Consider the following 27,764-nt stretch of genomic DNA (forward strand, 5'->3'; position numbering starts at 1 on the left):
AATGATCATTGACATTTAATTTAAAGCAAAAAAGAGTAAGTTATGGATAATGATGAGTTCAGTAGAGAAGCCTACTGATTATAACTTATTTGTGTTTGCTTTTTGAATTTTTGTTTTGTTTTGTTTTGTTTTTTTTTTGGGCCGTAATTTCACTTGTTGCCTAGGCTGGAGTGCAATGGCTCACTGCAACCTCCGCTTCCTGGTTTCAAGTGATTCTCCTTTCTCAGCCTCCCGAGTAGCTGGAATTACAGATGCCTGCCACCATGACAGGCTAATTTTTGTGTTTTTCATAGAGATGGGGTTTCACCATATTAGCCAGGCTGGCCTCGAATCCCTGACCTCAGCTGATCCACCCACCTTGGGCTCCCAAAGGGCAGGGGTTACAGGGGTGAGCCACCACACTGGGCCTTGAATTTTTTATTCTGTTTTTTTTTTATTTTGTGTGTTGGCTTTTAACTGCTTTCATGGAAATGATTAGAAATTTTATATTTCTTCTATGAATTGTACAGGACCTATCAGAAAGGCTGTGTCTAGAATTACACTTCTGATAAATGGTAGAATTGGGGGCAATTTGAGGCTTGAGTACCCTATCCAAGAATTTCCCCCATGACAAGTGAGTAAGGGCTCAGTGTTGGTTCTCAGATAGCCTGAGGATAGTGTAGGGTAAACAGCAGGGCCTCTGAATCAGCCTGAACTGGGATCACATCCTGTCCTGGCCACTTGCTGATGGTGTGACTTTGGGCTGTAACTTATCTTTAGAACCTTTGTGTATCATGTGTGATTGGGAACATTAACATTCACTTTTCTTTTGTCTTTAAATGAGATTATGTCAGAACATTCGATAAACTGTTAACTTACCGAGTTAGCTATACTTTTTTTCCCTCTATCTCAGTTTCTTTAAAGCAGGGGTTACTGACCACATTCCAGTTACCTGCATGGCTCTTGATGATCCAACAGACCCCAGATGAATGAAATCTAATAAATAATTGAAAATCAGATTGCTTGTCTCTAAGATCATTTGACTGTCCCCACACCAACAGTGGGTACAAGTGAACCAGAAATCTTAGCTCTCCACTCAACAGCGTTTCATGTGTATATTTAGACATGTGGAGGGATGGAGGGGGTTTGTAACAATAGATTATATTTTCACAGCCCTTTTACATTATGTTTTACAGAGCTTTTTATATATGTTTCTGATTTTATTATCTTGGCAACTCTGAAAGATTTTCAGCTTCAAAAATATTACACCACTTATAAAAGTGCATGCAGTTTTCAACTGGCAAAACCAAGGCTCAATCCCAGGCCTTCAAACTCCAGCTCCTTCCCAGTCTTCAGACTTTGCACTAAAATACTGCCGAAGAGGCTTTGTTATCTGTTTCATCAAGGTTTCTTCCCTCTAGGCAGAATGGTGATGGGAGGAGAAGAGGAGCGGGAGAAGAGGACCAGGGAGGTGATTGGTAGGAAGTTACCTGCTTCTATACTGCAGAATAAAGTTCTGGCTTTCCAGACAGCTGGAAGAGAGGACTAAGTTACTCAGGGCTGTCATCTGCAGCCTGAGAGCCCAGGGTCAGTGGTTCTTGGGTGTGTGGCTTTCCAGATTAGAAACATTTTCCCTAAAATTGGAGGATGAACATGTGATTGCCAACTTTTTATTTTACTGAATGAGGATAGGACATAAAAACAAAAATGAAAACAAAGCAGACACTTGTTGTGTACAGCCAATATCATTTCAGTGAAGACATTTAACACCATGTCCCAGAAGGCAGAACATACTCTCATGATCTATCAACAATTCTCTCCCTCTCTCTGGCCCTCCTTCCTTCCTTCTCTCTCTTACTTCCTTTCTCCTTTCCCTTCCCTTCCCTTCTCTCCTTTTTCTGTTTCTTTCTCTGTTTCCCTCCCTCTTTCTTTTTACCTCTTTCTCCTTTCTTTCTTTTCTTTCTTTCTTTCTTTCTTTCTTTCTCAGACTTCCTTCTCTTCTCTTTTTCCTCCTTCTTTCTTTCCTTCCTTCCTTCTCCTTCTTCCTTCCTTCCTCCCTTTCTTTCTTTCTTTCTCTCTCTCTTTCTGTCTTTCTTTCTCTGTTTCCCTTTCCTCCCTCCCTCTCTTCCTCCCTCCTCTCTCTTTCCTTCTTTATTTTTCTTCTTTCTTTCTTTCTTACTCTTTCTTTTTTCCTTCCTTCCTTCCTTCCTTCCTCCCTCCCTCCCTCTCTCTCTCTCCCTTTCTTTCTTTCTCTTTCTTTCTTTCTTTCTTTCTTTCTTTCTTTCTTTCTTCTCTCTCTCTCTTTCTTCTCACTGCAGCCCACTCCATGAACTGGCTGTTGAGAGCCAGGACCAGAGCTCTCAGTCCTCCCTGGGAATGCATGCCTCTCCATTTTGGTAGAGGCTCCTGTGTAGGAGTGAACTAAACAAATTGTGTGTTTCTTGGAGTCTCTGAGATCTCTGTTTCCAAGAAATGTAAAGGATTTAAAATACTAGTGCACCCTGAAGTAAGAAAGCACACAGCAGAGCAGAGTCAGCCACCAAAGTGTTGAAATGTGCCCACTAAAAACAAAGGGGACCTACCTCTGCTCTTCCCAAAGGAGGTGCAAACAGCTCAACAGCCATAGAAAACATGAAGTCTGAGAACTACCCATGCACTTGAGAGCTCTGGAGGGGTCCTTGGTGAACCGCCTGGGTAGGTCCCATCAGGAGAGGGTGAAGGCTGTGTTGCTTGGAGAGCAACACTCCAAGTTGGACGTTTCCCTTTGCAGTGGGGAGATTGGGTTTCCCGCTGATTGAATTTAATGCTCAGGCAATCGCAGTTGAGCATGAATCACTTCATTTCCTTTATGTTGCCCCACCTTCCTATCCACACCCCTCTACACACACTTAAACCACCCCCAAAGTGCCCAGAAACTCTCCACCAGAAACTTCCTGCAGAGTTTGTGAAGACAGTTTGCATCCTACAGACTCACTAAAGTGTTGTCCATTGATGGCAGAGTTGGCTTTACCTGGAGGCTTATGAGAAGTGCCCCACCCCAGAACTAGCAAATCAGAATCTGCATTATAACTAGATTCCAGGTGACTCATGTACACATTAGAGTCTGAGAGATGCTTGTCTACAGCACCCTGGGTGTTAAAAGACCTCTGACACTGGCCTCTGCCCATAGGTGAAATGCAGTTGATAGTTTTCAAGAAATTAAAATAAAAATTCCTTTGCAAGTATAGAGTGAGCACGAGTCAAACATTTGTTGAACTTATTAATCAGGGATTCTGCAGGATGCTAAAACTATTTTAAAAGAGAATACAAAAGATGGCAGTGTAGATAGTCAATGAAAGAAAAATTACTGAAATAAGATTAAAAACTTTAACTGTAAAACTAGTTAATGTGCTACAAGACAATAAAACAGTAACCTTTGGGGTTACCTTTTCTAACAGACAGAAATTGATTGCATTGCTACCAGATAAAATTGTCATACAACCTATCAGCCTTCTACAGATTAGCATCTGACTTTACAGAATCTGGGCTCTTGATCAACACTAAATAAGTTAAAAATATATCTCTCCAGGACAGAATCAAACAACTCCTTGGAAGGCTTGTTAGACAATGCTCTAGAATAACTCTGAAAGGGAAATGTGCTTTTTTCACATTTCAGGTAACTTTTTAAAACATGGAGTATGACCAAAGAGGTGCTTACAAGCCGCCTCCTGGCACAGAGCATCTTCATCTCCCGCCTCCCCAGGACACGCATCTCATTCCAGTAGGCATCAATACTCCTCACGGGAGATACTTTGTGGTTAGAAAATAAGATCGAGGCAGTGCTTTCAGAGAGCACCCGTGAAGATGCACGTGGTTTACCTAGAAAAGAAATGAGAGGAATGAAAGCCTTATCTGTTTCTCTTCTTTCCACATGTTGACATGGGTTTCTTTAGCTGGTTGGCTACCATCATAGATGCCAGACAGCTCAACTCTTGGAGATGAGATGCAAGATGGTTAAATAACAATGAGAACCTGGATTCACAGAAAGGACAAGTTTTAGGTGTTTTGAGAGCCCCCAGTTAATTTGGGATTCCAGTACCAGAGTGACAGGGTGGCTAGCAGCCCTGCCCTAATAGGAAATGAGGTAGAGCTGGACATAGTATTTATAGTGTGCCTTTGATGGGATGTTTTTTTTACTTAGTGGAGAGCGCAACGCCTATTTGTCCTGCCCCAGATCAAAGGGTCCCTCACATGGGAACCTTGTTTATACTGGCAGATGCCCTTGTGGCTCTTGTCTGAGCTGGGACCAGTTCATGCTTGCCTGACCATCATTCTGGTGCTAGGAGCCCCTTCTTTTGTTCCTCTCCACAAGGCATTCCATGGTGGGTGGGGGGAATTCTAGCCTGGGGCAGTCCCTGGTTCTCCAGGTGGAAAGCGCAAATTCAGTCCCCCACCACAATGGAAAACAGGTTCAAAGACTTTCACTTACAGATCTGGACAGGGAGGGTGCAATGAATCTGGAGGGCAGTGCTCCATCCTTGGGTCATGCAAGGCAGAAGTGAAGAGTCAGGCAGGGAGAGAGAAGAAAGCTCTGCAACTAGCATCACAGATAAAGGAGTAGGGTGTGGGTCATTCAAATTAGAGGGCAAATGGCCAAATGCTCTCTTTAAAGGAAGGATGGGAAAATGGGGAGCTCCATCTGCCAGGTGGGAGAGATGCCTCCGAGTTCTTGAGCCATTTGGGTGCTGTGTTGAAGTGGAAACTGTCAAGGTGACCGAGACCTGTTTCTTGTACGAGAAAGTGAAATGGCAGAAATAGATGTCAAGGCAAAATAATTATCAGAATTCACAAGGATAGGAGCAGAAACCACAGATATGAGCAGGTCCCATGAGAGTCTTCCACATGGGCACCTGGGATCCATAGGTAATGGGAGCCTGTGGCCTAAGGCAGGCAGATTGAGGGAAGTCCCTGAGGGCCAAAAAGTGAGAGAGACAGAATTCATTCTTGTATCATCCACTCAATCTTTATTGACCAATTACTGTGTTTTGGGCATTGGGCTACTAAGATGAATAAAAATCAGTCTCTGTCTTCAAGGACAGTTTAGTCAAGGCATTTAAACCTGGGCTTCATGAGGGAACATCAGGAGGGTTCCTAAAATTATAAGCATAACTTTGCATTTATGTTAATTTTTCTGGGGAGAGAATCTGTAACTTTTGTTAGAATCCTAGAATTTTTGTTATCTGCAAACAGAATCTAATGAGAGTTCAAGCAGAAATAAAATTTTAAGAAGAGGGCTCAAACTGATAAAATACGCATCGTTAGCACCAGAGGCCAGCAAAGTGGGCACATGAATCTCTGTGGAGTAGGAGTCGTGCCGATTTAAGAAGCTCTCTCATGGAGAGTCCAGTGAGCCTCCTGGTGTTGAGCACGTCGTTGAGAACCCTGGCGACCTGGCTGAGCAATCATCACAGTCTCCCTGCTCCTTCTTCCTGAAAAAGTGTTTCTCCCTCCTCTCTGCTTTCCCAAGGCCCCATTCATCCTGCAGGGCCCCAATCCTCCATGGGGCTTTCCTAGAATTCTCCAGCCCTCAGAGACCCCTTTTCTCTGAACTTCCATGGCCCCTAACCTGCCTGCCCTTATTAATATTTCATGTCTTTCTTCTCAGTACATTTCAAGCAATTTTAGAGCATGGAATGGAATGGAGGGTGCTGCTCCTTTATGTCTCAAAGCATTTGGCTCAGTGCTATTCAGCATTGCTATTCAATGGTATTGTGATTTTATTTTTTATTTTTTGGCTCTCTGGCCCCCTGTGTAGGAGAAGGGAGTCTCTTCCTGGGCTCCTACTGACAGGAACAGAAAATAGAGAAAGACATGGACACAAACCAAAGGGAGTAAAGTGGTAACGACTAGAAATTCACCGTTGTGATTACAGCCGCCATTTTACTCCATTTCTAACTTGAAACATTTCCTTTGCAAATTGTTTGGCATGGAAACACTTCAAGGCTGCTTGAGGGAGGTGGAAAAGGAGATACACTAAAGAAAAATGTAGTTTAAAGAGGCAGAAACTATAAAAAGGAATACAAACGGAGGATTCCAGAGTAAAGCAAGAGGCTGTGCAAATAAAGACGAGGAGAAACTTCTCCAGACAACACGGGCTCATCGTTGTCCATGCATTGCCCACAACTATGTTTGCACAAATATATCAGGGATATCAGGAATGCTATAATGATACTCCATCACCCATGGTTCTCGTTTTAACCACTGTAATAAGCAAAACATACAGAGCACACTGCTGGCCCTAAAGACTATAATTTTCTCTGAGGAGAAATATTGCAAAAAGGGAAAAAAAGAGAGAGAGAGAAGAAAACATGATATTTTGTTCAGTTTCTAAAAAAAGCATTTTTCCCCTTTCTCTGCTGCGCTTTCCTTTCATTAAACTGTCCTTAAGTGCTTTTAGAGAAAACTAAGTAGGCCACAATTCTGGGCTGCTGACTGAACAATTATAAGTCTGGGAGCCTGCTGGGATGGCCAGAGAGAGGCCCAGGTCCCTCTCCTGAAATCCAGAGACCCTTGGGGGTTGTGCCAGTTGCGGCTGGACTCCTCACGTTGAAATGATTTCTCATTTTGAAGGAAAATCAGGGACATTCTTATCCCTATTAGTCCTCTGAGAACTTGGGCCACTGCCAGATTTTATTGGAAAATTGCAACAAAAGAAATTAGAGATAGTGAGTTCTTATATTTGAAGGGTTACACTAGAGGCATATCGAAGCCAGATTATTTCCAGATCAGCTCTGCTTCATGAGTTAAAATATATTCTCTGCTTTTAAAATAGTCACAGTTCCTTAGATTCAGATTCTTACTGTTGACTATTGTTAGTTTCTCCCTCTCTGTCTCTCTCTGTGTGTGTGTATGTCTATAAGAAGTTGTTGTAAGTTTACTGTAGGGAAAGTTAAACAATAGAAAGATGAGTGAGCACACTACCACTAAAGTTCAATGCAACTGGACATGCGTCTGTTTACTAGGGCCCAGGAGATGGCTGGGCACATGAAGGGACACCAGAGACACCCCAGAGGTCAGGACACAGAACCTGCTGGAGGATAAGACAGATTATATATACTCAGGCATAAAATAATCATTGCAAAAGGCCTGACAACAAGTATGTTTGATGTTTGAGTCCTGCCATGATGTGAATGTCTGATTTCCAGGGACAGCCCAGCATGGAGAAAGAATCCAGGCTTGGGAGCAAGACATACCTGGTGTTGTGTTCTAGCTTTATTCCTTTTGGTTGTGAGCTGGGCAAATTATGTACCCTCGTTTGGTTTTTGAGATGAATGAAATGTAGCATAGGATCTCCAAGTTGCTTCTTATTCTAAAATTCAGCATTTCCTCCTTTTCTAACTTTTCTGCAAATCTGGTAGTCTTTGTCCAGGTTATAAGTATAGCCTCAAGGTGGCAGGGGTGACGTGAAGTAGGTATGTACCCTTTCTCTGTCCAAACCTTCCCTCTCTTCCCAGTACTCATATATCATCACATTCCACCCTGGCAATTCTTAATGTAGTGTCCTCATGTTCTGAAAGAAAAACTGTTTTTGGTGGTGGTGGGGTAAATGTTAGAAATGTGAAGAATGCCACTTTGGGAGGCTGAGGCGGGCGGATCACGAAGTCAGGAGTTCGAGACCAGCCTGACCAACATGGTGAAACCCCGTCTCTTCCCAAAATACAAAAATTAGCTGGGCATGGTGGTGAGCGCCTGTAATCCCAGCTACTCAGGAGGCTGAGGCAGGAGAATGGCCTCGAACCCAGGAGGCAGAGCTTGCAGTGAGCCGAGATCACGCCACTGCACTCCAGCGTAGGCGACAGAAAACAAACAAACAAACAAACAACAGAAAAAAATGTGAAAGAACACAAACCATAATTACATGTAAACTCAACATAGTGAATTGGGACATGTGTTACATATGTCTTTGTTCTCTGGCAGTGTAAAGATCACAAATACTAAAACAGGGATAGAAACTAAAAGATAAAGGAAAATCATGGGCACAATCTTATACCCACCTCTAAGTTAAAGTTACCCTACACAGGTAAAGACTAGGTCTTCCTTTCTAGTGCAGTGTTGGGCACATAGCTTGGGCTAATAATTCTTGTTGATTATTGGCCAAAATCAGCACTTTTGATCTGATGGAACCAAACTCCCTCAGGTACAGCCATAAGGGAAAATACAGGGGACAGGTGATGGGGTGCCTATTTTCAGGGGGTCTTTGAGTGGAGTTGCAATTCCTGGAGGGACTGGAAGGAGGAGAAGTGGTTACCTCTGGCCCATACATTCCTAGAGACTCAACTGGCCCAGCCCCACATGTTAGCTGAGGCTTCTCATTCTAAAGTTTTGCCCCTTTAGTTCCCAGAATAATCGATATGGCTGCTTTTGCATGTTTTTCTATTATCATTTAATGGTAAAACACCAAGTTTCTTATGATGAATTTAAGTGGCTAGCATAAAGCATTCTAGGCACAAGAATGAAAGCTACTTATACCGTGTTGATGATGGACACTTTGAAGAAGAGTGTACTAATCATGTGAAAACTGTTTATCAGATGGAGTCCTGGGTACTTTTTTCTTCTAAGGGGGTGACAGGGTAGATTTGTTTCTGGGGGTGTGGTTTTGACTAGAATGTTTGAGCAACGAAAAAACTGTAGTGTTAATAAGGAAATGTAGGTGCTTCAAATATAGCAACAATTAGGTAGGTCAGTGCAAACATTCTCTCCTCTCTTCTTCCAGCGTGTGTTTTTGGAGAAGATAAAGCGGTTGGCTATGCTTAGGAGCCTCAGCTAAAGACACTCCCTCCCATCTCCCTAGCCCAGGGGAAGCCTGGCGTCCTGTCCCTGGGCTAGGGCTGGCGCCGGGAGGCAAACGTCATGCCTTCTCTCAAGTAGATGGTCTGCTCATCTCTGAATCTCAGTCTCTCCCACACCAATGAATTCAGTGAACATGTTAGAATTCCCGTAAGGAGCAGCCCCTTCAGCCTTGTTATCAAGTGCTGTTTCCAAACTTCTGGGCCCCTCCCTTCTTGCTCTCTTTCCAAGAAGCAGTTTTCACTTGAGGATCCCACTTTATAAATGTTAGGCTGGCTTCTCTCATTGTTCCTTCATGGAGAGATCCATGAAAGGAGGATTAGGGCCATATTTTATCTTCCTTGGCAGGGTTCATGTGTGAACTGTAGAATGATTCTCCCAGTGTATTACAAGGCAGGCATGGAGTTATCGTGCTTTTGGTCCCTCAAGAAGTTGCGCAGGAGTAAGTACAGTGCCCACACACTTTGCACAGAGTAGACAGTCAAGAAATATTTGTTAGATATATAAAAGCAATTCATGACCCTATTTTTGTTACTTCATTTTGCATTAACAATGTTTGGAGGTGATGAATGTTGGTTAAAAGATTCCATGTTTTATCAAACACCTTTCTTCGCCAACTTTTTATTGGCTGAAACTTGAGTCCACCAACTTGAGACAGGACAGTTGTTGAAGAATGTCCCTTTTTCCTATGCCCTCCCAGCATCCTCTACCATGCCTCCTCCCTCCTCACAGGGGGCGTCCCTTCTGTAGCTCTCCAAGGGCGGGACAGTATTGCCCCCACCAGCCTGCCACCATGACTGAGTTTGTGCTTCCATTTATACCTGTTCTGTGACTAGCAGCCAAATCTTGCTAAAATGTAATATATCATTTGAGTTCTCTCTCCTGGGATAATACAGTTGCATTTAATAGTAGCCTTTAGGAGATCCTGTGCTTTAGTTTCCAGAAGTAGTTCACAGTAAGGATTTTGGGCATAGAAATTTAACAGCAACAGTAATTTACCTCTCCTTTAGGACTAAAAGCATCTTGGGGGCAGTCCCCTTTTTTACTTATCTTGTATCCCTGGAAATACTCACTCTGGTCAGTTATTAATAACATTTCATGAATAAATATTGAGATGACTAGCTAATGTAATAAAATAATTTGAGAGATGATATACATGAATTAATATAACCCTGCCCATGTGACACATTTGCATCTTTGACAGTTCTTTTCAATGGCTTCAATCCCTTCGGTTGAGAGAGAAATTTTTCAATGGCGAGGACTCTGTGGGAAGTTCAGTATGGGGGTTTTTTCAATATGGGGGTTATAGTAGCAGTCTCTAAGAAGGTTCTCAATGATACCCATGTCCTGATATTCATGACTTTGGGTAATCCCTTTTCCTTGAGTAATTTGCTTCTAATCAATAAAACACAGCAGTATTGATTAGGTTACAACAGATTGTCACTTCCTTCCTGCTAATTCACTTCTGTGCTGGCTTTGATGAGGCAAATTGCCATGTTAGAAGGGTCCATATGGCAAGGATTGGAGAGCAGTTTTCAGCTAACAGCCAACAAGGAACTAAGGTCTTCAATCTGACCACTTATAAAAAATGGAATGCTGCTAACAACCTTGTGAGCTTGGAAGCAGATACTTTCCTGGTCAAACCTTTAGATAAGCCCTCACCCCTAGCAAGAGCACAGCCTTATGAGATCTTGGAGCAGAGGATCCAGCTGAACTTCCCACAGAGTCCTCGCCATTGAAGCTGTGAGATAATTGTATTGTTTGAAGCTGCTAAGTTTGTGGTGATTTATTACACAATAGAAGACTAATAACAAGATCTCTTATCTCATTTGTCATCCAAGTTGCCCAGGCTTCCCAAATGACATTTTAAATAGAATTAGCTCTGGGGAAAATGACCAAAATTGAGTCGAATGATAGGCTGGGTCTTGAGAGAGTGGCACATTTCCATCTTGTCTCATTCCTCAACATGATCCTTCAAGGAAATTCATAGCATTGGCCAAACTGCCCAGTCTCTAGAATCCTAAAGAACTCTGATGGTGACTGAGCTACTGCCAAGAGAACCCTTTACCCTGTGCCCCCTGTCTAAGCCTACTTTCATGTCTCCACAGAGGTCTGCTTTGGTCCTTAGAGATGTCCTTCTCCCTGTCCTAGGGATTCTCTACATGAGCCTTATGTCTGAAGGAAATGGCAACAGTGGGTACCCCACCACCAGCTCCAGCAGTGGGTACCGATCTTTGCTTCACCAATCATCTGAGAAGTTTGTTCAAATATCAGATTTGAGCCTTACCACTTAATTCAGAGGATCTAAAATAAGGACCATGAAAGATCATTTTTAATAAGTTGCCAGGGGTTGCTGATGGTGGTAGTGAAGTCCCAGGCTTTCACACACCCTGGTCCAGAGGTTTTCCCAAGAGCACCAAGTGTCTATATTTCAATGATCCGCAAACAGGATGTCATTGCATGCTTATGACATTGGAAAAGTCAGAAAAATTAACCTCTGTAGACCTCAATTGTATAAGTGCCATAAAAATTGAGTAATCTTGATATTCTCTTTTAGTCCTGGAAGCTAAATAGGGAAAGGGATAGTTTACCAGTAAAAAGAGAATTCACAGACAGTCGTCAGACACCACTCAAAAGTTATTTTATATTAACCCCTTTGGCCCTTACAACAATCCTATGAGGTGGGTGCCATAGTTAATTCTGCTTTACAAATGAGGAAACAGAGGCCCCGAAAGACCAAGTGACTTTTTCAAGGTCACACATGTAGTAATATACACAGGACTCAAATACCAGCAGGGTGGCTCTAGAGTCCATGCTTTTAGCTACAGTGCTAGACCATCTCTACTTCAAACTATGAGTGTTCCTGAGTTTATAAAAAGTGGTATCAGTGTGGACTGCACTTATCTGGGAAGACGAGTTGTGATTGAGCTTTATTGTGGAGTAGAATTGTCATTGGCAAAAGGCATAAAGAGAAAGATACTATAAACAGAGGGAATACCAAAAGGAGGACATGGAAGGGAGCCTGAGTGTGACACATGGGTCAAGTGATGAGGAGACTGGCTGGCCAGAGTGTGGTCCATCTGGTGAGCAGTGGAGGGTGGGGCTGCAGAGGGGAGTGGGCTATGAGGTGGCAGAGGAGTGGGGGCTTGAATGCCATGTAGAGGAATTGTTGACTATCCAATAGCCTTTTCCCCTTCCTCCTTGCTAAGAAGAACTCCAATATTCTTCTTGTCTCATGGTTGTTCAAGTTCAATTAGAGGCACTCTCTTCCCTTTTGCCAGTGATTGGCCTAGGGATGAGTATGTGACTCAATTCAGCCAGTGAGATATAAGTAGAGCCCTGCTAGAGGCCTCCAAAACAGATTTTTGTCCATAATAAAAAAAGAGAAATTGTCATGTCTTGAATGTTTGACTCCAAAACTCATGTTGAAATTTAATTGCCATTATAACAGTATTAAGAGGTAGGACCTGTAAAAGGTGATTAGGCCATGATGTCTCCATCCTCATGGGTGAGATTTGGTTTGTTATAAAAGGCAAGTTTAGCCCCCTCCTTTTTTTCTCTCTCTCTCACCCTCTTGCCTTTCGCTGTGAGATAATGCATCAAGAAGGCCCTGCAAGATGTTGGCCCCTTGATCTTGGACTTGCCAGTTTACAGAATTATAAGAAATTAATTTCTACTCATTGTAAAGCACCCATTCACAGGTATTCTGTTATAGCAACAAAAATGGACTAAGACAGAGATGCCTGAGGTAAAGCACTTCTGACCCCTGCCTTCCTTCTTGGGATGCTGTGGTGTGAAGACATGATGTGTAGGCCTTTGACAGCCATTTTGTAGCCATGAGGGGAAGGTCAGAGAATCATGGAAATGCTAACTCAAATACCTGAATTCATAGAGCTACTTATCCAATCCTAGAACCACCTCCTTCTATTCTTGTTTTTGTTTGTTTGTTTTGTTTTGTTGTTTGTTTGTTTGTTTTGAGATGGGATCTCGCTGTGTTGCCCAGGCTGGAGTGTAGTGGCATGATCTTGGCTCACTGCAACCTCTGCCTCCTGAGTTCAAGAGATTCTCCTGCCTCAGCCTCCTTAGTAGCTAGGACTACAGGTGTGTGCCACCACACCTGGCTAATTTTTGTATTTTTGGTAGAGATGGGGTTTCACCATATTGGCTAGGATGGTCTAGATCTCTTGACCTTGTGATCCGCCCACCTTGGCCTCCCAAAGTGCTGAGATTACAGGTGTGGGCCACCGAGCTCAGCCTGTTCTTGTTTTTATGTAAAATAATGTAATGCCTTTATCACCTGGGCCACTGGCAGTTGAGCATTCTGTTGCATGCAGCCACACACATCCTAACTAATAGAGAGTATCTTAGGAAGCCAGGATCTTTAGTGAAATAGTAATAATAAGAGTTATCAACAGGATTGTACTTCCACACATATTATTTCATCTAGTTAGAAATGAAAAAGCACCAGCTTTGGGGTTAGAGAGCATGGGTGTGAGTCCCAGCCCTGATCTGGAAGAAATCATCCTCTTGCACCTTAGTTTCTTCATCTGTAAAATGCAAAATAATATCTCCCCCTTCAAGTTGTGAGAACCAGTGAAATAATATTTTATGGCGTCCAGCTCAGCATCCAGCACTAACTACGTCTAGAAGATAAGATACATTGACAATGATAATAATAGCAAATGATTATGAGTTATTACTGAACACCAGCCTCTGTATCAAGGACTTTATGCATATTGTTTTATTTAATCCTCTTGGAAATGGGTATTATTAAAAACTTCATTTGAATTTACTGTTCTTAATCACCAGAGCCCCTTTGAGGAGGAGGCAGGGCAGTGCAATGATAGCAAGTCTCATTCTGTAATTGAGAAGGTGGTGCAGTGAGTGGAAGTGGTTCTGATGGCAGAACCAGGGTGTAGCTGGGGTCGCCTCAATCTAAATCCCAATTCAGAGCCATGACATGTTGGTGACTTGTCTCAGAATCTTGGTGGCTCAGTATCAAGGGTGACCATTTGGTTTTCACTGGCTTTGCTTGTTAATAAACATGGTAGCATCTGTGATAGTTACTAACAATATCTATCACCAAATATACTAAAGGAGGGGAAATTTAATGCTTTGCATGTCCCAGGAGAGATTTGTGGCTTCTACCTGATGTGCCCAGAGCATCTGTCCAAAGGTCATGATGGACCCAATTTAATTAGGTTGTTAGCCAGCTCCCCAGGGGTGGTAACAAGAGGCCTTGTTAGGCGAAGTTTCCCCTCACTGAGGAGTTCTTTGCAGGGTGATGGACCAAATTGTTGGCAGTGGGAGGTCTGAAGAAAGATGTGGGGCTCTTCTTATGTGGAAAAAAATCCTTTGAGCAGGTACGTGTTCCTTTCAACTTCCCTGTGGAGACCACCCACATGTTTGTGTGCACTGGAATGGGGAGGGGAAGCGGCCATGTGTTTCTATTTAGGTGTGGGTTGCTCATTTGTGTAAGTGTCACTGCCTACGTTGTTTCAGCCCATGTGGCCTGTGGATTCTGAATGGTGGCTCTGACTCCTTTGGTCTGTTTTTGATCTTGCAAGTTGAAAAAGAATCATGTAAGTTAGAGAAGGACCGAGTCATTAATGGACCTTCCTTTGTGTCCAGAGGGTCGAGTGAGTTTCTCAAATTCACACAGCTGGTTTGGTGGCAGAGCCAGAACCAGAACCTGGAGCAGAAGCACACCAAAGTAGAAAGAGCTAGGGGTGCCAAAGAGTGCCCAGGCCTGGATTCTGATTTCTTTAGAAAAGAGAGGGTCAGAGTTGTAACACTCCAAATGACAACAATCATCTGGGATAGGTCTCTCTCCCTCTCTCTATCCATCCGTCCATTTTCCATTCATCTGACATTTCTCTTTATACAAATGTTTTCATACATGTAAACAGATAAACATATACACATTAAGATACACGCAATACATGCTATATATTTCAGCCATTCGTCATCTATGTGCATATGTCCATATGTATACACATATATGCATAGATTATATTTAGAATATAAATACAGGTACTTCACACATACTATCACCCTATTCATTCACACATATATTTCATATATTTATTCATCCATCTATCTATCTATTTGTTTTCTTAACGCTAATAAGTTTTTAATGGGTGAAGGGGACCCTAAAAGTAGTTTCTAAGGATGCTTGTATGACTGGTATCCCTCCAAGATGTCTCAAGATTAGGATAGGTCCTTATTTGGAAAGTGATTGTCTGTGTGGTCCAGTCTGAGGGGGTTGTTTCCTGCCTTGCCATATTCACGTATGTGATGTTGGAGAAAAGAAGATCAGCTGGATGAGCTGATTTGTGATGGGACTAACAATAGTTACAATTTATTGACTGCTTACTAGGTTTAGGAGTATACATAGCATTATTATTCGCATTATCTTGATTGGTCTTCATTTCAGCCTACAAACCACATGCTACTGTTATATATCCATTGCACAGATGTTTGTGGCCCAAAGTCACACAGCCAGTAGGGGACAGAGTTGGTTTTTCCCTCATGGTGCTCAGAGCTAGCCTGATGTTTGAACAGATTCCAAGTGTTCCCAGGCTGTCCTGAAGCCTGCTTCTTCCCTTCAGGTACGGGCTGTCCATGGTGGGAATGCTGCTGTGCTAGACCTGAAGGTCCTGGAGCTATATGGCAGGCATCCCTGTTACCATCAGAACTCATGTTTTGCCCATGCCCTTTTCCCCACACTCAGGAAGTTCCATGCAAAGGTAAAGTGTGTACTGACAGCAGTGGCATGATTTGAAAGCTGCTGGATGGCCCCCAGTCTTGAGTCCCTTCCCTGGAGTCTTGTTGATAGCTAAAATTTGAAGCATGGCTTTCGCTTTCAGTTTCCTTTGATTGCAGACCTTCCTTACGGAGAAGGTGCACCCGAAAATTCTTGAGGATTCAACTTTTCTAATTTGTATCTGAAGCTTTCCCAGCTCCCAGACTGGAAGACTAACAATATGAGAACATTTGGATCTCAGGGGTGAGGGACAAACTGAACTGAGGGGGGAAAGAGGGATAAACAGAGAAGCTGAGGGGCTAAAGTTGGACTTCAACCACAGTCTCATTGGGCCACATCAGCTCCACATGAATCTGAACTCCAAGACGCTCAGCTTCCAATCTGGCTAGGGCCAAGGCAGAGCTCTCAGCCATCAACACCCAGGGAGAAGTCGCGTGAAGAGCAAGGGACCTGCTGTGTGGTGGGTGTTTGCAGAGGGCACCAGGGAGGCTGCCTGTGGGTGGCACAAGAAAGAGCCTGGCTCTGGTATTTCCATTCCTGCCTGATGAGGCCGAATGAGCTGGTCTTCCCAGGGAAATTGCAGCACAGCTCATTTGTGCATGTTTTACAATGGTGTTGATAAAATCCCCATGGAGCCCCAGAGCATGTGTGAGGAGTTCCCACCAGAAATCTAAACAACGCCCTGGCGTTGCTGACAGCTTAATAATGTGACAAAGTTCAGCTTGTTCAATGACAGGGACAGGAATGCAGCTGGGCTGGTCTGACCCAGAGCTTTGAAAATATCCCCCCTTTACTCTGACCCAGCATTTGACAAATAACCTTTTCTTAGCCTCCTTGAAGGCACCAGACAGAACCAAGTGCCATGCAGGGGCCATATGCCACCGTTAAAATGTTAAATGGAGTGGCGAGGGCCACCAGAGTCACTTGGGGCTGACATTTATCTTTATTATTATTATTAATAATAATGCATATATTGCTTTTTTGGTGCATTCCAGAGTTTTTTTGCACTCCTAAATCATGTGGCTGTACATCACCCAGCCCGATAAATCACCCAATGAACCCAAATTCAATGCAGCTGTCAGGCCAGATCTGAGAGAGGCAGAGTTAGTTTAATTGAACTGCAGCAGGGAACCGACGGGCGTTGCCCAGAAAATCAGAATAATAGCAGTGTTGCCGGTGACATTTCAAGAGCTAGACATGAACTGCTAGCTTCAGCTTTAATTTTACTAGAGGGAATGGGGGGACGGGTGCAGGGAGAAATCCAGACTTCAACAAATATTTAAACTCTTAGGTTTTTTTTTCTGCCTCAAAGCCAGTACAGACAATGAGTTCCACATTTAGAAATTTCAGTAGAAAGAATCCCATTTTTTTCTTCTTTCTCTAGCTTCTCCCCATTTCTTCTGCTTGCTTCTTCCTCTACTCCATGCCCCCTTTTTTTCAACAAAAAGAAAGCTGAAAGTAAAGAAACAACAGGATTTGAGTTGGAGCCAATTTAATGGGCCAAGAGGTTACATATGGAGCCAACAAATCATGCAAGCATGAAGGATATTACTGATTTCAAGTTATGTATGTTAAAGCCCAAATCTTAACAGCATTCATAAAGGTAAAGGTAACTAATGGAGAGGCTTAACTGACAGAAAATGGGCTTTTCTCCCTGGCTGCCCTGCCTCCTTCTTAAAAATTGCAGTGCATCTCAGCTGAAGAAGGCCTTCCGGCGGCAGATTCTCCCCGTTAGGTGATGAGTGGGGAGGGCCTCAGCCTTACTAGCCAAGAAAGGACAAAGCTCAGCTGGGTTCTGTACCAATAGAAGGCTCCAGACACCATTGTTTGGTTTATTTTTGTTTGCATTAAGTGTGTCTCTTCATATGTTTTGGGGTTACCAGAAATACCTTTCCCTTTACCCCTTTAATTTTTAAAACTGTGTGTAATTTTAGGGAAATTTGATCCATGTGTTTCAGATTCATTTGCACTTAATCATGAAAATCTCTCTGGAAAGAGCTATTTTCTCTCCCAGAAGACTTTGGTGCCCTTTTAAATAAGCCCTGTAAGTGTCCTTCCACCCCAGGCTGCCCTCTTCAAGTGCAGAAGGTTGTGTTTGGCCAAAGGAAAACCAACCTGACCACCAAGGGCATGGGTCTGGTTTGAAATGTCGAACTCGTGAACTTGGACTGTATTCTGGAAATGGGGAAATGACTTCCCCTTAGCCCCAGTGTTTACATAGTCAGAGAAAGAAGACTTCCTTTAAAAAAAAAAAAAAGTGATGTGAATCAACTCTAGAGCATTATAGTTCCTTCCAACAAGCCAGGCAGGGCTCATTGGAAATGCCCCATGGCCATCCACAGGTGAGTGTTAGCCTCACAGGATCAAAATGCACACTTGCGACTTTTCTTTGAAGTTCCTGGAGAAAATGCTTTTACCAGAGACTCCCAATTACCAAAAACACCCTGGAACCATCTTGGATGGCTCCCAAGGGCCATGGAATGACTGTGTCCAGGATACACATCTCCCCACCCTTCATCCACAGCAACCCAATCACTGCATAGAAGCCACAATAGCATTCCTTCAATCCAAAACAAACATGTCATTACCAATCTCAGATTAATTGATGTCATTTGTGTGCCCTGCCTGTTGGGTTTCAGCTGGAGGCTGCCCAATGGCAATGGCCACCACCCTTGAAAACCTCAAGGCACTCACAACTGTGGCCCTTGGCAGAACTTCCTTAGCTGTTCTTCTTTAACCCTGTGACTCCAAGCCTTTCCTCCTTCCCACTCTTTTCCCACTCTGAGGCTTTGGACAATTTTGAAATGAGTTCCCAGTGGAATGAGAAGATCTGTGGAACTGAGTTTTGCTTTGAGTACATTTCTTTACTGTAACTCATTAATAGTAAGATACGCATGTGTTTTTGTTTTATCACCCTTAAAATTAGAATGCTCCTTATAATTGATGATAAGAAATACTGTGGTGAGGTGATGGAAAACATTTTCCTCTTTAGTGATACAAAAATTAATGGTATATCTGTTCTAGTCTCTGAAGAGATGTGATTACTTTCCAAAATAATGTGGTAAATGTTTAACTCCCTCATTCATTCATGTACTGTTCATTCTTCAGTCAGAGTATATCATTGACCACATGCCTGACTATGCACAGTGAGAAGACTAGAAGAGTATTGAAAAGACCCCTCCCTTTTAGAAAGTTATAATTTAGCTCTAGACATAAGTGCATACATGACCAACCATGCAAAGTGCTAAATTAGTGGTGTGGCCAGAAAGTGGTGGAGCAGATCAAGATGGAGCCACAGAGTGGGATGGAGATTCCGAGCTGGTGGGCAGGCGGCCCCATTACCAGCTTGGCTCTGGGATTCAAGAAAGTAAATTCTTACCTGTAGAACAAAGGGCTTGTTTCAGATCAGTGTCTTACAACATATTCCACAGGAACGAGTTCCACAGTGGGGGTGGGGTGGAGCATTGAGAAACATTACCTGCCATTTGCCTTTTATCAGAGATTCCCACCACTTGTTAGCATACAATGGGTTCTGAGGTGAAGGGCTTGTTTAAATTTTATTTAATTTAGTGTTTCCCAAATATATTTATTCCTGGAATCCTTCATTTTACTCACTAGCCATTCCGATAATAAACCTTAGGAAAACTCTAAAGTCTTTTCCAACTCTAACATTCTAGGAATTCGTTAGACAAGGTGGAAGTAGAGCATGGGAGGATGAAAGGCTAAGAGAAGGGCTTGAGCTGTGCTCACAGAGTGATGGGCTCCTGGCATGGGGAGGCAGTGTCATCACTGAGGAGAAAGGCTTTATCTATTGTTCAATCAAGGCACATTTACTAAGAACCTATAGTGTACTGTGCTGGTTGCTGGGCCCTCAGAAAAAAGCAAAACACTGCCCCTGACCTCAAGTGGCTTCTAATTATGGAGAAGACCAGGGTGTAAACAAATAGCCACAGTAAAGTGTGTACCTGGCCTGTCACACAGGTAGAAACACAGTGCCACAAGGGGACTAAACATGCCTGGAGGAAATCCATGGAGGCTTCTTGTAGGAAGAACCATCAGAACTTTGAAGCAGGGGTATAAATATATATGTGCCTGAAACAGAAGCAGAAGGAGAGCATTCTAGGCAGTGAGAGGAGCATGAATAAAGATAAAGAAGCATGAGACTGTTGAAGTAGCTTGTAGTGGCTGGCAGGCAAGATATATTGTGATGAAGAGAGGAAACTGAGGCTGACGAGTCAGGTTGGGACCAGACCATGAAGGGTTTATTTCAGCAAGTAACAACAATAATAAGAGATTTAATTATCTTCCATAATAAGGAGTCTGGAGGTACATAATGAGAGGGTCTGGGACTGGTTCAGAAGCTCAGTGATGCCTCCAGGGGCCTGGGCTCCTTCCATCCCTCTACTTGGCTACTCTTCAACATGTTGGCTTCCCATCCTCTGTTTGCTGCCTCACACTGAGAAGGCAGCCATAGAACTGGGCATACTTCTCATGGATGGTATGCCTTATCCTTAAGCATAGGCATCTAAAAGTGTCCCACAGGTAGGAGAAACCAGCCTTGTTTACAGGTGTTTTTATAAGATGATTGGCAGGAATGTAGACACAAGAGTGGGAGAGGAGAAACCAGATGCAGGAGACAGTTTGGAGTTATTGAAATTGTCTAGGGAAAAAGTACTGCATGCTGACACCAGCATCCCTAGCAGGACTTGGAAGAAGGGGGCAGCGGAATATGTACTTTCCGCTGATCAGGAAAGACAATTCTCCTGGGCAGCCCCCGCAGCCTCACCTCTCTCATTGGCTGGAACTGGGTCACATGGCCACCCTAGTGCAAGGAAGGCTGCGAAATGGAGTCTGTGGCAAAGGAGAATGCAGCAGTAGCCATGAGACCCTCAGAATTCAGTCATGGAAGCTGGGCTGTGTCCTGAGTGAGAAATTAATCTATTTGGTGAAGCACTGAGATTGGGCAGTTACTGGTCATGGCAGGTAGACTACTTTTTCTATTACGTGTGGATACCGATGCCCAATAACTGAGGAAGACCATGTGGCCTCCCATGTGGGGAACTGGATTAAAGGCTAAACAATGACAACAAAATTTTGGGGAGAGAGGGGATATTGGGGGTCTGGTACCCCCAACTCCTTCATCTGTCCGGAGGTTAATAATGATTTGTAACTGAACAAAATGTGGTAAACTGTCAAGAGTACATAACACTTGCTGTATGCTTCAGGAAATAGGTTTTTTAAAAAATCACAACTTTTTCATCAAGGGCCAAAAAAAAAAAGACAATTCAGTTGAGAGATCTAATTGAGAGACTCCCCACCCTACCACCGCCCACTACCTAATCCAAAAATTACCCTCCTGCAATTGACTGAATGTTTATGTGCCCCAAACTCATATGTTGAAATCCAAAGTCCAATGTGATGGTATTAGGAAGTGGGGCCTTTGAGAGGAGGAGCTCTCCTGAATGAGATTAGGACCCTTTCAAAAGCGATCTCACAGAGCTCTCTCGCCCTGTTTCTACCATGTGTGGATACAATGAGAAGTCAGCCTTCCACTACCTGGAAGAGGTTATCACCGGAACCCAGCCATACTGGCACCCTCATCTTGAACTTCCAGCTTCCAGAACTGTGAGAAATAAATTTCTATTGTTTATAAGCTGCCCAGTCGATGGTACCTTATTATAGCAGCCCATACTAAATACCTCCCCTAAATATTTTAGTCATGTTATGCCCATAATGTCAACAGAAGATCGTTATTAAAAATATTTTTAAAAAATAGGTCAAATTGAAAGAGTGGGCGGTTATCAGCCACCTCCCCTGAATAGTGAAAATGTGTGGACAATGCTTTCCCATTGCGGATACAAATCTGACAGAGAAAAGATGGAAAGATGAGGAACGTCAATTCTCCGGACATCTTCTGAATCTCATTTCGGTGAAAAGGAAAGGCTGATTGATGAAACAAAGTCGTAGAGACCTTGGGAGAAAGTGGCCCTCTCATTCTGGAGCTCCCAAATGCTAAGGGAACACTGGGCTTTTTAGGATGTCTGCAGTAGACTTTAGGAACATATATATTCAAGAAGTTCAGAGAAACAGTAAATGTGATTCCACAGCAGGAAGCTTCAAATGTGGAGATGGCCTAAGAAGGATGGGAGACCCTCCAAGTCCTGAGAGCCGAATCAAAATATGAGCTCCCCATCCAGAGAAACTGATACTGCACAGGAACTTCTGTAGCAAATTTCCATGGATGAAAGCAGAAAGTAACTGAAAATGGATACTAAAGGGTGGGACCAATTGGCTAGAGCAGTAACTGAAAGATGAAACCCCAAATGAGCTCAACCTTTCCTCATTCTAAGGTTACCAGAAGGAGGAGGCTTCTACCAATAAGAAGGAGGCTTATTTGGGTCACTTCAGAATACGTCATGAAATGGGTTGGTCGGTGGTCCCAGGGCAGGTGGTAGAAGATACCACGTGGTGCGAAGGAGCAGAAATCTTGAAAAACTCCCCAGGGTGCAGCCCCAGTCCTGACACTGGCCCAGGCTTTGCCTCAGCATCTGGATCGGTAGCCAAAGGTGAAGCACAGAGGAAGAAGCCTGCCTAATCCTCCACCGTCGGGTGTGCTCACCCTGAGCAGCCCCACCCTGCACAAGTGCGGCAGGTCTCATCCGCCTAAGTCACACCTGTGCATACCCCTTTCATCAGCCCTCCTTCAAGTGGCAATTTAAACATTTTAAGGCCACCTGTTGAGCACCCATTTGGTAAATTTCCTTTTATCACCAGCTCACGGGGAGTAAGTGGGTAATGTAATTATGGGGCAGGAGAATGGGGCGTTTGATTTATGCTTTTTGAGGATTAGCCAAGTGCCCCAATGCCAAATCCGTGATCACCTGAAAGGAAATCTGAAGGAAGAAACTGCCAAATAAGTAAGTCCTCCAGGTGGTCTTCAGACAAATGGTTTTGAAAATGGGTATCTTCTGCCTTTAGTCTCTGGAGAGCTCAAAGGCTTCTGGGGTGGACAAAGCTGATGTGTTTGCCTCCTTGTGTGATGAGCCCAAGGAGCAAAGGAAAACGTTTTCCAAATGCCTGTAGCCAGGGCAACACAGGATTGGGAAGTGCTGGGAATGTGGAGGATTGTGTGCAAAACAATGATAGGGAGCTAGGCTTCTGATCTCCTGATCATTCCTGGGATGCTACCTGTGTCCACTCAGTGCATAGGATCTGGAATGTTTCTAGATGATGCCAGAGAGGGGGCATGGACCAGTCACCTGGTCTCAGGCTGCAGGGCACAGAATGCTAAAATCCCACCTTTGACGCAGCAGACAGTCTCTCTGATGATACTTGGATGACATTCCATTTTGTCTGGGAATATGTGGCAACAGGTCAGGGAAGGGGCACATGCTAGACATTTTTAGAAATGAACAAATGCATGGTATATCAGTTTCCTGTGGCTACTGTAACAAGTACCACAATCTGAGTGGCTTGGGAAAACCAATTTATTCCATTTATTCTCTTGCAGTTTTATAGGCTAGAAGTCCAAAATCAAGGTGTTGGTGGGGTTACACTTTTCTAGTGCCTCTAGGGGAGAATCCTTGTCTCTTCCCCCTTCTGCTAGCCCCAGGTTTTCCTTGGCTTGTGGCAGCACTTCAATTTCTACCTCTGTCTTCACACGGCTGTCTTCCCTCTGTGTCTACATCCAAATTTTTATCCTCTTGTAAAGACACCAGTCATACTGGATTAAGGTGAGCCCTAAGCCCATATGAGACCTCATTTTAACCTAATGACATCTGCAAAAACCCTGTTTCCATATACAGGTTCTGAGCTTTATATCTCAAGCATAGTTTTTGGGGGGACACAATTCAACCTATAAGGTGGATATATGAAAAAACAGAGTCACCATCCCTGATTTGTCACATGAATACTTGGAAGGTGATGGAAGTTTTGATCTATTGTCATCTCAGCTTAGGGTTCACCCTCTAAAACAGACAATGGCTTTTTAATTTTTTGCTCTAATTCTAAAAAGAGATAATCTGGTATGATGTAACATAACGCGTAATACACTCACATGTAATAAAATCATAACGCAACTATAGAAGAGGGCTGTAAGCCTAAGGACAGGGAAGCCTCTGGGTACCTAATTGTCACAAGAAGGGCTCTTAGAAGAGAGAGAGAAAAAAAGGAGGAAGAAAAATCAATGAATGTTAATGGACTAAATTTTCAAACATCTGGCAATTCTAGGATGGCTTGTTGAAGAGACAGAATAGTTAAAAGAAAAATGAACAAAGCAGCTTCAGAATATAGTGTATGACCCTAAAATTTCTGGAAGGTCCAAGTAATGGGAGAATGTTGGGTGTTAACAGAAGCAGCAGTCCACAGAAGACGACTGAAGTGAGAGCAGCTTCACAGCCTGCCCCTTCCCTGGGGTGGGGGGGATTTCCTGTGAGGCTTGAAGCACAAAGCAGTGTGTATTTAAATTTCACACATGAGCCAAATGAGTGGGGTACTATAAACCAAGGCTGCCCAGGAATTCTCCATAGCCATAGGTCATCTTTTTACCTAATGTTGGATCTATGTGGGATGTGGGGCATTTTCTATTAATTACATTTCTTAATTTACTTCTGTAAAAAGAATCTGGTAACTATTATTTCTAGTGTTCCTAGAGTTTCAGGGAAAGAGAGATAATGCTAGCAATGGTCAATTAACCACCTGGGGAAAAAATTCATGAAAATTTATGCTTACAGTTATGCTATAAGCTAGGTAAGGAACTATGGGATGAGTTTGGAAGAGAAGCACATGGCCAGTTATAATTTTGCTTCAAAAGCCTAAAGATGCCTTAAACAGCCTGTTTTTGAAAATGATCCCTCGTGAATTTATCTAAGTCTATCATAAACATATTTTGATACATATTACATAATTTTCAAAGTAGTTATGTAGTACTGTAGCATATTTACATGACTCAAATAATAAAAACATGTAAAAAGGTATACAGAGAACTTCCCACTTTGTTCCCTTTCTGTAAGTTCCCATCCTTCCCAGCAAGGAATGTTATTATTAGGTCTTTGTTTTTACTTCTGATGAATTATTATATATTTGCTAGCCAACACAGATATATAATTCTGTGTTCCCTTAATTTTTTATAAGTGGTAGCATGACATCTATTTATATGAGTATAAAATGAGGTATGTACATATTTATTCATTGCAGCATTTTTTGTAGTAGCAAAAATTTGAAAATGGCTTTAGTGTCCATCAGAGGGAGACTAATCAAGTTGAGGAATATCTACACTATGGAGTAGTATGCAGTTGTAAAAAGGAATGGGAGGTGATCCCTATATACCTATAATGAAAGATCCGTCAGTCTGTTAGGGCTGCTATAACAAAATGTCATCAGCTGGGAGGCTTATGAACAACAGAAATTTATTTTTCACAGTTCTGGAGGTAGGAAAGTCCAAGGTGAAGGTGCTAGCAGATTTGATGTCTAGGGGCAGAGGGAAATTATTTCTGGTTGCAGACAGCTGTTATCTCCTTGTATCCTCACATGGTGGAGGGCAGAGAGAATACTTCTTTCATGTCTTTTTTTATAAGGGCATTAATCCTATTCCTGAGAGCTCTACCCTCATGACTGAATCGTCTTCTAAAGGCACCACCTCCTAATACCACCACACTGGGGATTAGGTTTCAGCATATAAATTTTGGGGGGAACACATTCAGTCCATAGCCAGATCTCCAGAATACATTAAGTGGAAAATGTAAGATATAGAACAATGTATACACTATGTGCTTTCGGGTAAGAAGGTGGGGCAGTAAGGGTATATATTTGCATTTTCTTGCATCTGAATACAGAACAATCTGGAAAAAGTACAAGAAACAAATAAAGTCTTAATTTAGATAGGGTGAAGGAAGTATGATGATCAGGGACAAGGAAGAGTGTGACAATTTCCAATGTTTACTGTGTTCTAGCATCTTTTGAGTCATGCAAATACATTTCCTATTTAAAATAAAAAATAAAAATAATAGTTAATTAAATGTACATCCCTGGGATCTGATAATCACACCTCCAGGAACCTAGCCTAAAAATATTTTCTTACACATGTTCAAAGACATCTGCAAGGATGTTTGCTGCAGCATTATTTCAACAGCAAAAGACTAGAAATGACTTAAATATCTATTAAAAGTAGACCAGTTAAGTGAGTTAGGTTGCATTCATAGAATGAAACACTATATAGATGTTACAAAGAATGTGAAACATATATTAATATGGAAAGCTCTCCAAGACACATTAAAGTGAAAAAATGCAAAAAACATTGTGCTTTTTTGAGAAATGTCCATTCAAGTTCTTTGCCCATTTTTAATAAGAGTAGTTTCTTGTTACTGAGTAGTTTGAGTTCCTTTGTGTATTTTGGATATTAGTCCTTTATCCAATGTATAATTTGCAAATATTTTCTCCTAATCTGTGGTTTGTGTCTTCATTTTATTGTTTCATTTGCTGTGCAGAAGCTTTTTATTTTGTTGCAACTCCATTTGTCTATTTTCGCTTTCATTTCTCAAAAGAAGACATACCAATGGCCAACAGATATATGAAAAAAATGCTCAACATCTATAATTATCAGAAAAAAATGAAAATTCAAATCACAATGAGATATCACATCAGACCTATTAGATTGGCTATTAACAAAAAGATGAAAGATAACAAAGATGAGAATGTGGAGCAAAGGGAACTCTTATACACTGTTGGTGGTATTGTAAATGAGCACAGCCATTTTTGGAAACAGTATAGTGGTTCCTCCAAAAACTAAAAATAGAATGACTATATGATCCAGTAATCCCACTACTGTGTATATACCCAAAGGAATTGTAATCAGTGTGCTGAAGAGATGTCTGCACTCCCATGTTCATTGCAGCATTCACAATAGCCAAGATATGGAAACAACCTAAGTGACCCGAATCGACAAACGAATGGATTTAAAAGATGTAGTATATAATCACAATGGAATGCCATTCAGCCTTAAAAAAACAAAACAAAACAGGAAATGGTGTCATTTGTGACAACATGGATTAGCCTAGAGGACATTATGTTAAGTGAAATAAGCCAGGCACAGAGGGACAAATACCACTTAGGTCTCACTTTTATGTGGAATCTTAACAACTCAGAAGTATAGAGTAGAATGGTGGTTACCAGAGGCTGGGGGAATGAGGAATGGGTGGACAGGGAAGGGGGAGACATTGATCAACAGGTTCACGGTTACAGATAAATAGAAGGAATAAGTGTTGGCAATCTATTGCACAGCACAACGATTATAGTTAATAATAATGTATATTTCAAAATAGCTGAAAAAAGAGGATTTTAAGCATTTTCACCACAAATCAATGATTAATATTTGAGGTGATGGATATGCAAGTTAGCCTGATTTGATCATTCCACAATTTACACATGTATCAAAACATAACATTGCATTCCATAAATACATATAATTACTATTTGTCAATTAAAAATAAAATAAGACAAAAAAAGAAATTACCAAAAAGAACATACAAAACACATTCTGCTTCTATTTTTTATAAAATAAATAAGATGTATGCATATACTCCCACCAACATACCCTGTATTCTTATTTTAAAAGAATGTGTGGACCGGGCGCAGTGGCTCACCCCGGTAATTCCAACACTTTGGGAGGCCAAGGTGGGTGGATCATGAGGTCAAGAGATCAAGACCATCCAGGCCAACATGGTGAAACCCTGTCTCTACTAAAAATACAAAAATTAGCCGGGCATGGTGGCACATGCCTGTAGTCCCTGCTACTTGGGAGGCTGAGGCAGGGGAATCGTTTGAACCCGGGAGGCAGAGGTTCAGTGAGGCGAGATCATGCCACTGCACTCCAGCCTGGTGACAGAGCAAGATTTCATTTCAAAAAAAAAAAAAAAGAATGTGTATGTGCCATATGATGCATGTGTAAGTGTGTATATGTGCATGGAAAATTTCTGGGAGCAAATAAATTGTTAACAGTGGTGAGCTCTGGGAAGGGGATGAGAATGTTTAGGGTAGGAGAGTTGCCTTCTTTTTATTGCAATGACTTTTGAATTGCATGACTTTTCTTTTACTGTGTATGTGTTTTCCTTTTTGAATTAAAAAATATAAATAAATAAATGTACAACTGTACGATGAAGATTATACACGTGTAAAACAAACAACTGAGAAAACTATA

The 27,764-nt window shown here is 42.3% G+C and overlaps 1 protein-coding gene across 1 annotated transcript in view, besides 1 other annotated feature; it reads right to left on the minus strand.

Moving 5' to 3' along the window:
* Positions 15,399–18,652: an enhancer, noted in NCBI's record as "VISTA enhancer hs1461". NCBI's record gives its function as "enhancer in: limb[12/16] | nose[7/16]" and the evidence as "EXISTENCE:transgenic organism evidence [ECO:0001131][PMID:17130149]".
* The window catches only part of CLIC5 (chloride intracellular channel 5), a 248,993-nt gene continuing 237,890 nt past the window's right edge, over positions 16,662–27,764 (minus strand). The window contains exon 8 of the mRNA XM_047418896.1: positions 16,662–17,023. The gene's annotated coding sequence lies outside the window, so the exon portion shown is untranslated. The remainder of the gene's footprint in view (positions 17,024–27,764) is intronic.

The sequence above is a fragment of the Homo sapiens genome, chromosome 6 (assembly GCF_000001405.40).
Source record: "Homo sapiens chromosome 6, GRCh38.p14 Primary Assembly".
In the NCBI taxonomy this organism is placed as follows: Eukaryota; Metazoa; Chordata; class Mammalia; order Primates; family Hominidae; genus Homo; species Homo sapiens.